An 11688-nucleotide genomic window follows, 5' to 3' on the forward strand; every position below is an offset into this window, starting at 1 on the left:
TAAATGAAATCAGGAACAATAAAAGGAGACTTTACAACTGATACCACAGAAATACAAAGTATTATTGGAGACTATTAAGAACATCTATACACTAACAAATAGAAAAACCTAGAGGAAATTAATAAATTCCTAGAACATGCAACTTACAAAGGTTGAACCATGAAGAAATAGAAACCCTGAATGGACCAATAACAAGTAACAAGGATTCAATCAGTAATAAAAATCTCCCAACAAAGAAAAGCCCTGGATTGCTTTACTGTTGAATTTTACCAACATATGAGGAAGAATTAACACCAATTCTCAAACTTTTTTTAAAAAATGGAATAGGTGGAAATTTTTTAACTCATTCTATAAGGCCAGCACTACTCTGATAGCAAAACCAGACAAAAACATCACAACAATAGTAACAAAACCACAGGCCAATATCCCTAATAAACATAGATGCAAAAACCCTCAAAAAAGAATACTAGCAAACCAAATCTAACAACACATCAAAAAGATAACATATAATTATCAAATGGGATTTCTCTTGAGGGCACCAGGATGGTTCAATATATGCAAATCAATAAATGTGATACATTACATCAACAGAGTGAAGGACAAAAACTATATGTGTATCTCAATAGATGCATAAAAAGTATTTGTTAAAATTTAACATTCTTCAGGATGAAAACTCTCAACAAATTAGCCGTAGGAGACACTTACCTCAACATAATGAAGGCCATGTATGACAAACCAACAGCTAACATTGTACTGAATGGGAAAGAACTGAAAGCCTTTTTTCTAAGAACTGGAACAAGAGAAAGATGCCTACTTTTACCAGTCTTAATCAGCATAGTACTAGAAGTCCTAGCCAGAGCAATTAAGAAAGAGAAATACAGGGCATCCAAATTGGAAAAGAGTAAGTCAAATTGCCCCCACTTTGCAGATGACACGTTCTTGTATTTTGAAAAACCTAAAGGCTCCACCACAAAATTCTTAGAACTTTTAATGAAATAAGAAAAGTTTCAGGATAGAAAATCAACTTACAAAATTCAGTAGGATTTCTATACATGAACAACAAACTAGCTGAAAAAAAAAAAAGAAAGCAATTCCATCTAAAATAGTTACAAAAGTATAAAATACCTAGAATAAATTTAACCAAGGTGGTGAAAGAGTTCTACAATGAAACCTACAAAACATCAACGAAGGAAATTAAATGCTGAGCAAACAAATGATAAGGCAACCCATGCTCACACGTTATAATAATTGATAAGGTTAAAATGACCATGCTACCTAATACAATCTACAGATTCAATGTAATCCCTGTCAAAATACCAGTGACACTCTTCACAGAAATAGAAAATAAAAATCCTAGTATATGTATGGAATCACAAAAAGACCCCAAACTGCCAAACTAATACTGCTCAAAAAGAACAAATAAATCTGGAGGCATCACACTACTTGACTTTAAAATATACTATAAAGCTATAGTAACCAAAACATCATAATATTGGTATAAAAACAGATACATCAACCAGTAGAACAGAATAGAGAACCCAGAAGTAAAACCACATGTTTATAGCCAACTGATTTTCAACAAAGGCACTGAGAACATAGATCGGAGAAAGAAATCCTCTTCAATAAATGGTGCTGGAAAACTGGACATCCTTATGCAGAAGGATGAAATGACCTCTATCTCTCGTGATATACAAAAATCTACTCAAAGTGAATCAAGAACCTAAATACAAGATCCAAAACTGTAAAACTGCTAAAAGAAAACTTAGAGAAAATGCTTCAGGACATTGGTCTGGGCAGAAATTTTATGGGTAAGAGGATAAGACCTCAAAATGACAGGCAACAAAAGCAAAAATAGACAAATGTAATATATCAAACTAAAAAGCTCTGCAAAGCTAAAGAAACAATCAACAGAGTGAAGAGACAACCTGTAGAATGGAAGAAAATATTTGCAAACTATTCATCTAACAAGGGACTGATATTCAGAATATACAAGGCACTCAAATAACAGAAAAAAACAAACAAAACCAAAACACAAATAATCTGACTAAAAAATGGGCAAATGATTAGTGACATGGTTTGGATGTTTGCCTCCTCCAAATCTCATGTTGAAATGTGATTCTCAATGTAAGAATGGGGTCTGGTGGGAGGTGATTGGCTCATGAAGGTGGATTCCTCATGAATGGTTTAGCATCATCCTCTTGATGATACATGAGTTCCTGTCCAGTTAGTTCACATGAGATCTGGTTGTTTAAAAAAGTGTACCACTTCCCCTTCACTCTCTCTTGCTCCCACTCTCACCATGTGACACATTGGCTCTCCTTCACCTTATGCCTTGATTATAAGATTCCTAAAGCCCTCACTGGAAGCAGATGCAGGCACTATTCTTTGTGTACAGACTGAAGAAACATGAGCCAATTAAACTTCTTTCCTTTATAAATTACCAAGTCTCAGGTATTTCTTTATAGCAATGCAAGAATGGACTAATACAGAAAATTGGTACCAGGGAGTAGGGCATTGCTATAAAGACAGGTAAAGGTATGGAGGTGGCTTGGGAACTGGGTAACGAGCAGACGTTGCGAGAGTTTGAAGGTCTCAGAAGACAGGAAGATGGGGGAAAGTTTGAGACTTCTTAGAGACTGGTTAAATAATTGTGACCAAAATGCTAATAGAGATATATGGACAGTGAAGTCCAGGCTGACAAGGTCTCAGGTGGAAATGAAGAAGTTTTTGGGAACTGGAGTAAAAGTCACTTGTGTTACATGCTAGCAAATAACTTAGCTGCATTGTGTTCATGTCCTAGGGATCTGTGGCACTTTGAAGTTGTGACTGATTACTTAGGGTATCTGGTGGAATAAATTTCTAAGCAGCAAAGCATTGAAGAGGTACCCTGGCTGCTTCTAACGGCCTAGGATCAGATATAGAAGCAAATAAATGACTTAAGGTTGGAACTTATATTTAATAGGGAAATAGAGTGTAAAAGTTTGGAAAATTTGCAGCATGACCCTGTGGTAGAGAAAGAATCCAAGCGGGCTGTGGAGCAACCACTTGCTAGAGAGATTAGCATAACTAAAAAGGAGCCAGCTGTGAATATCCAAGATAATGGGGGAAAAGTCCCAAAGGCATTTTAGAAATATCTGAGGCAGCACCCCCCATGATAGTCCCAGAGGCCTAGAGGCAAATAATGGTTTGGGGGGCCAGGTTTAAGACTCTGCTTCCCTGCACAGCCTTGGGACACTGCTCCCTATATCTGAGCGTCTCTGGCTCCAGCATCAGCTCACAGGGTCCCAGGTACAGCTTGACCCAGGTACAGCTCGACCCAGGTACAGCTCTGGACAGTGCAAACCATAAGTCTTGGTGGTTTCCATGTAGTGTTAAGTCTGCAGATGCTCAGAATGCAAGCATGAAAGAGGCCTGGCAGCCTAGTAGATACTCTGCTAGGGTAGTGCCAGGGGAAATGTGGAGTTGGAGCCCTCACACAAAGTTCCCACTGGAGCACTGCCTAGTGGAGCTGTAAGAAGGGAGCCACTGCCCTCCAGACCCCATAATGATAGATCCACTGGCAGCTTGTACCCTGCCCCTGGAAAAGCCACAGGCATTCCACTCCAATCCATAAGAGTAGCTATGAGCTGCTATGAGCTATGTCCAGGGAAGTCAAAGGTGATTTAATCAATGCCTTAGTTGGTTTCATACTGCATGGAGCTTATTGCTCCTTTCTTTTGGCCTATTTCTTCCTTTTGGAATGGACATGTATACCCAATGCCTGTGCAACCATTGTATCTTTGAAGTAAATAACTTGTTTTTGATTTTACAGGCTCCTAGGTAGAAGGAACTTGGTCTTGAGTCTCAGACAAGACTTTGGACTTTGGACTTTGTGTTGACACTGGAATGAGTTAAGACTTTGGGGGACTCTTGGGAAGGGATGATTGTAATTTACAATGTGAGAAGGACAGGAGATTTGGGGTGTCAGAGGTGGAATGATATGGTTTGAATGATTGTCCCTTCCAAATGTCTTGTTGAAATGTGACCTCCAATGTTGGAGGTGGGGTCTAGTTAGATCATGGAGGTGGATCCCTCATGAATGGATTGATGCCCTCCCTATTGTAATGAGTGAGTTCCTGCTCTGTTAGCTCACATGAGTGCCAGTTGTTTAAAGGAGCCTGGCTCCTCTTCCTCATTGTCTCTTGCTCCTGCTCTCTTCATGTGACATGCCTGTTTCCGCTTTGCCTTTCACCATGATTGCAAGGCTCTTAATGCCCTCATCAGAAGTAGATGCCAGTGCTGTGCTTCTTGTACAGCCTGCAGAACCATGAGCCAATTAAACTTTTCTGTTTATAAATTATCCAGCCTAAGGCATTTCTTTATGGCAATGCAAGGGGACTAGTACAATCAGAGTAGACATTTCTCAAAAGAACACATGCAAATAGCCAACAGATATATTTTTAAAATGCTCAACATCAGTAATCATCAGGGAAATGCAAATCAAAATCACAAGGAGCTATCATCTTACTCTAGCTAGAATGGCTATTATCAAAAGGACAAAAAAAATTCTGTTGAGGATGTAGAGAAAATGGAATCCTTATACATGATTTTTCGGAATGTAAATTAGTATAACCACTACAAAAAACAGTATGAAAGCTTACCAAATAATTAAAAATAGAACTACTATACTATCCACCAATATCACTGCTGAGAATTTATTCAAAAGAAAGGAAATCTTCGGCAAAGTCTCAGGATACAAAATCTATGTACAAAAATCACAAGCATTCTTATACACCAATAACAGACAAACACAGAGCCAAATCATGAGTGAACTCCCATTCACAATTGCTTCAAAGAGAATAAAATACCTAGGAATCCAACTTACAAGGGACGTGAGGGACCTCTTCAAGGAGAACTACAAACCACTGCTCACAGAAATTAAAGAGGATACAAACAAATGGAAGAACATTCCATGCTCATGGGTAGGAAGAATCAATATCGTGAAAATGGCCATACTGCCCAAGGTAATTTATAGATTCAATGCCATCCCCATCAAGCTACTAATCACTTTCTTCACAGAATTGGAAAAAACTATTTTAAAGTTCACATGGAACCAAAAAAGAGCCCACATCGCCAAGTCAATCCTAAGCCAAAAGAACAAAGCTGGAGGCATCACGCTACCTGACTTCAAACTATACTACAAGGCTACAGTAACCAAAACAGCAAGGTACTGGTACCAAAACAGAGATACAGATCAATGGAACAGAACAGAGCCCTCAGAAATAATGCCGCATATCTACAACTATCTGATCTTTGACAAACCTGAGAAAAACAAGCAATGGGGAAAGGATTCCCTATTTAATAAATGGTGCTGGGAAAACTGGCTAGCCATATGTAGAAAGCTGAAACTGGATCCCTTCCTTACACCTTATACAAAAATTAACTCAAGATGGATTAAAGACTTAAACGTTAGACCTAAAACCATAAAAACCCTAGAAGAAAACCTAGGCTTTACCATTCAGGACATAGGCATGGGCAAGGACTTCATGTCTAAAACACCGAAAGCAGTGGCAACAAAAGCCAAAATTGACAAATGGGATCTAATTAAACTAAAGAGCTTCTGCAAAGCAAAAGAAACTACCATCAGAGTGAACAGGCAACATACAAAATGGGAGAAAATTTTCGCAACCTACTCATCTGACAAAGGGCTAATATCCAGAATCTACAATGAACTCAAACAAATTTACAAGAAAAAAACAAACAACCCCATCAAAAAGTGGGCGAAGGACATGAACAGACACTTCTCAAAAGAAGACATTTATGCAGCCAAAAAAACACATGAAAAAATGCTCACCATCACTGGCCATCAGAGAAGTGCAAATCAAAACCACAATGAGATACCATTTCACACCAGTTAGAATGGCAATCATTAAAAAGTCAGGAAACAACAGGTGCTGGAGAGGATGTGGAGAAATAGGAACACTTTTACACTGTTGGTGGGACTGTAAACCCTTAGGTACATTCAAGGAACTTAAAGAATAGAGAATAGATATACTTTTAGACATGTTACATAGTATTAAGATATGCACTTATTTAATATTTATTTTCTTTGGATACATATCTAGAATTATTGGGTCCAAGGTATGCCCTTATTTTTAGAACACATGCTTAGAATAATTATAGATATACAGATACATTGTAAAGTTAAGACAAAGTAGTCCTGTACACCCCACACCCAGTTTCCTCTATTATTAGTGTCTTACATTAGTATGGTGCATATGCCCCAATTTATAAACCAATATTGACACATTATTATGAACAATAGTAGATATATTGTTCATATTTTATTTGTTATAATCTATAATGTCCTTTGTCTGTTAGAAGATTCTATCTGGGTTACCACATTATATTTACATTACATTTTTTCTTCATGTCTCCTTAAGCTTCTCTTAGCTGTGATAGTTTCTCAGCTTTTTTTTCCCTTGTTTTGTTTTTATTTTTGTTTTGAAGACTCTACCAGTTTTGTCGCGTACTGGTCAGGTATTTTTTAGAATATCTCTCAGTTGGGATTTATTTGATGGTTTTCTCATGATTAGATTGGAATCATGGGTTTGGGAGAAAAAGATTCCATAGGCACAGCTTGGGCGACAGAGAGAGACTCTGTCTCAAAAAAAAAAAATCCATAGACAAAGAGAAACAGATGCTTTATTGTACTTAAGTAAAGTCCTGGAAGTTGTGATATTTTTGGCATTAGGATATTAAATTTTATGCATATATATATATATAAGGTATCATATAAAGAAGAAAGAACACATTATCAGTTTCAATCAACTTTGAATCAAATTTGGAATCTTATACTTTACAACCTGGATAATTTTGGACATGTTATTAATAGTTCACAACCTTTTCTTCTGGATTTTTGAAATAAGGCTCATAGTCCAATGACTATCTAGCTAGAGAGGCTTTCAAGATTCTCTAATTTATTGCCACATTCACTTTGTGACATCCCAATTGTTTTAAACCCATTGACACTGGTTGCATCTGATTGGACCAGGAATCCTCAACTGGTTCATGTGAAGAGACCTGGCACCACAATTCTGCCCCATGGCATGTATTAGTCAGCTCAGGCTGCCATAGCAATATGCCATCACCTGGGTGGCTTAAGCAACAAAAACATATGTTCTCCCAGTTCTGGAGGCTAGAAGTTCAAGATCAAGGCGCTGACATGGTTGGGTTCTTTGCAAGGCTCTCTTTCTGACTTCCAGAAGGCCACTTTCTTCTATGTCCTCATATGGCAGAGATTCATTCTCTCTCTCTCTCTTTCTCTCTCTCTCTCTCTCCCTCCCTCTCTCTCCCTTCCTCTTCTTATGAGGCCTGTTCTGTCAGCTTAGGGTCCCACCCTTATTTCACTCACCTAACCTTAATTACCTGCTAAAGACTCTACTTCAGGTATAGTAACACTGGGGGTTAGGGCTTCAACTTATGAATTTTGGAGGAACACAGTTCAGTTCATAGCAGGCAGTTCCAAGACAGATTCTGATTCTCTAAACCCATTACCTCCTCACCTTTGAATTATTTGAATTCAAAAAATGAAAAGTCAGCTGATTGAGGGATTAGTTTCAGCCAGGTCACTATTGCACTGAGAGCTACAGCATTATACTAAAGAAGAAACAATATGAGGCAGTTCTGTGCAGTGGTTAAGGCCACTTAACCTGGATTCAAAACGACTTGTTTTGAAAATTGGCTCTGCCACTTACCAACTAGGTAATTCTGGGCAAGTTACTTAACTTGTCTTTGCCTCTCTATTTCTGTAAAATAGGGATAATAATAGTATTGCCTCATAATGTTATTGTGTGGATGAAATAGACAACATATGTGCAGCTTTAGCAAACCTGGCATGTAAAATGTGCTCAATAAAGAGTTGAGGCTTTTGTTATTGTTAGTATTGTTATTCCTCACGTGGTCTATCAATGGACTCTCATTAACCGAGCAAATTCATTTAGTGCAGCCAGAAATGAATTACACATTACTCTGTGAAATGGTCATGGAGTAAAAAACTGCCTATGGCCTTTGTATACCACCCTTTCTCTTGTTTTTTGTTTTTTGTTTTTCTGGTTAACTCTTCTTCACCCACTAAGAGTTATCTAATATATCACATCTAGCAAACTTACCTGTCCTCAATGGCTTCCATGGCTTCCTAATTTCAGTATTAAGAACTGAGGCTCTTGACATTGTTTGTGTTAGTTTTAACGTGACTTTAAGCATGTTACACAAAGTATCCAAGCACCAATTTCTCCTTCAGAAAATGGGACACAATTTTCTGTCACTGAGGCAGTATAAAATTTAAATAAATAATGTACATACAATAATGAGCATGATGCCTAGTGAGTACTCAATAATTAACAGAGATTCTTAGATTAGATACTAATCTTGCTGTGTCATTATTACCTGCACAATGATTGAAATATTCTATTCATTTGTTTGTGACACAGTAAATATGTGAATTAGAATATAAGATCTAAGATGGCAAACTACATCATCTTAGCCAAGGATCTCTAAATCTTAACTTCCCCAATTGAGCTAGAAGCATTTTGCTCTATAGGTTCTGCCTAGCTTTTGCTCTAGGCTTGTCATTTTTTTCTATAAATGGTCACACAGTAAACATTTTTGGTGTTACTAGCCAGTCTTTTGCACAGAATATTTCTCTCTGCAATGTGAAGCCAAAGCAGCTATAGGCAATCTGTGACCAAATGGGTACAGCTGTGTTCCAATACAACCTTATTTACATACATAGAACACTGTTGTATTTGGCATGCCAGCCATAGTTTGCTGACAGATTCCTTGCAGATTACACTATAATTATCTATGACTGTTTTCCCTCATTTTCAACTATATGATCTTATTTTTCACTATGTTGAAACTCCTGCCACATCTCTATTTTAGAACTTCTGTGTGTTCTAATCTGTACAATAATAAACCAGAGTAATATAATATTCCAATTATAACTGAATGAAAAATGAGTTTTTGTTAGAACTGGAGATACCTTCTCAGTGATTTTGAAGATTTTTTAATATAAAAAAATTCCAAGAAAAGTGGGTCTCCTCATTTTGGTGAAGATGGAATGAGAGTCCTGGAGCCCCACCCCCAGATTCTGGGACAGCTGCCAACTGGCAATCATACCCAGTAAGTAGGGCTGACTTAGCCCAAGAAGGTATTTCCCGGTTAAAAAAAACAGGCAATTATGTGAAACTAATAGAGCTTAGAATCTTTGAAGAATCTGATGGTGCATTGCCCTTGCCTACACTTCTCTGGCCTGGCAGTCCTCATAGTTTATTTCCTACATGTAGTTGTGTCATTTTGTCAGTAAAGCAGCACTTGGCACCATTAAAACCAAAATGTTAAATTTATTTTATACCAGATATAATGTTAATTTTGTACATAAAACTCTACTTTGCAAACTGAGATTCAATAGTAACATCCTATTCAAAAAAACATGCTTTGGCTGGGCGCGGTGCCTCACGCCTATAATCCCAACATTTTCGGAAGCCCAGGCAGATGGATCACCTGAGGCCAGGAGTTCAAGACCAGCCTAGCCAAGATAACAAAACTCTGTCTCTACTAAAAATAAAAATAAAAATAATTTTAAAAAAAAGAAAAAAAGAAATACAAAAATTAGTGGGGCAAGGTGGCTCCTGCCTGTAGTCCCAGCTACTCGGGAAACAGGCAGGAGAATCACTTCAAGCTGGGAGGCAGAGAGTGCAGTGAGCAGAGATCATGCCACTGCACTCCAGCACTCCATCTCAAACAAAACCAAACAAACAAACAAATAAACAAAAAAAACATGTTTTTTTCTTACTTGCAGGTTTTATCTCTATAATTGAAAAAATAAAACTCAAGGGGGAAGGCATAAATACCAGTTAATACTGATCTTATATTCTACAGTTGATTGTATGAGGCATATTAACTCCCAAAACTTAATACTATGCTCATTATACTACTATTAGTTAATGTTATATATTCTAGTGAATATATTATTTTTATATATTCTATAGTTTAAGTTCAGTGGAAATCAGAAAACCTGATGCATTGTTTTATGCTGGTATTTTGTCTTTTTCTCCACAAGCACACATGTGATTTTATTAAATTCTTCTTCCCTTTTTATTTTTTTATTTTTGAGATGGAGTCCCCCTCTGTCATCCAGGCTGGATGGAGTGCAGTGGTGCAATCTCGACTCACTGCAACCTCCTCCTTCCAGGTTCAAGCAATTCTCCTGCCTCAGCCTCCCAAGTAACTGCGACTACAGGCATGTGCTACCACGCCCAGCTAATTTTTGTATTTTTAGCAGAGACAGGGTTTCACCATGTTGGCCAGGCTAGTCTCGAACTTCTGACCCCAAGTGATCCGCCCACCTTGGCCTCCCAAAGTGCTGGGATTACAGGTGTGAGCCACCAAGGCCAGCCTAAATTTTCTTAAGGATCCTGAGACATAGGAACAAATAATTTAAAATTTCAGCTCAGTGCCATTAAGAGCTCTTGTTTTACCCTTATAAACCATTTTCTGGTAGATTACTCGCTCATTTGACTCCTAATTAATATGCTGTTAACTTCTCTGTCCATTGCTCTTTTTTCACTTTGTCTACATCGTTTCTTGCATGATTCATTCTGTCCCATGGCCTATTTATTATTCTTACCCACCAAATCATAAATGTGTATCCCCAGTCCTGATCTTCTAACTGAGCCTAAGATCCATATAACCAACCTCTGAACCCAGCATGTCCAGGACTTCACATATACCACCCACAGCACACACAGTTTTCCATGATTTGAGCTTTGTAAATTCTCAGACTCTACTCCTCACACTTCCTGTTTCACACTTATATATCATTAAAACTGAACTCCACTCCTACCTCATTATACATTTGTGTTAACTTCAGGGTATTAAAATTATATCCAACTTTATCTTACCTACTAAGCTATGAACTCATTGAGTTCAATAATTCATTAACTCCAAAGCTTTATTTATTTATGAAGATCCAATACCTAACTTGGTGTTTAATAATGATAATGAATATTGTTTGAGTTGAACCGAACTAAAATACATCAAACTCAAGCCTCCTCTGATATCCACAGTTATCTAGCTCACTGGTGGATGTTAGGGTGTGTTGGTGCAAATTGTAATACTCTATTCTTATCCATAGGTGGCAGCAAGCCCCTAAAATTAGGGGGAAAATGGGCTGTGCATAGATAGGAGGATATCTATATCTATCCAAAAATACTAAGCAAGGGAAGAAAATACAATCTATTAACTTGGGAGCTCCTTAAGTGAGTGTTTCTGTCTTAATTACTCAATATCCCCAGGGTCCCTACATACCTCATTGTCTCACTCCTTCCAGACTTTTGTAAGTGCCGTTGTGTTGGTCTCTACATCTGTTTGCTGGTAGCTGAGAATAACAATGAAGTTGATTAAATTTGGTTTTGGTAATATATTTTTCTCTGGACAAACCTCTCTCTTGGCTGTTCCCGAAGTACCTATCACCCATTCTATACGGCTTTTCCTGAATTATTTTTCAATTTATTTCTAATACATGTTAATTATTTTTTACATATTATTACATAGGATGTATTATCTATATATGTCCTATGAAGTATTTGTACCATAATACAGAATACTCTAAAAAAAAATGACAAAAGTTACCAAATTCTTTCCATT

This window comes from Homo sapiens, chromosome 7, assembly GCF_000001405.40.
Source record: "Homo sapiens chromosome 7, GRCh38.p14 Primary Assembly".
Taxonomy (NCBI): Eukaryota; Metazoa; Chordata; class Mammalia; order Primates; family Hominidae; genus Homo; species Homo sapiens.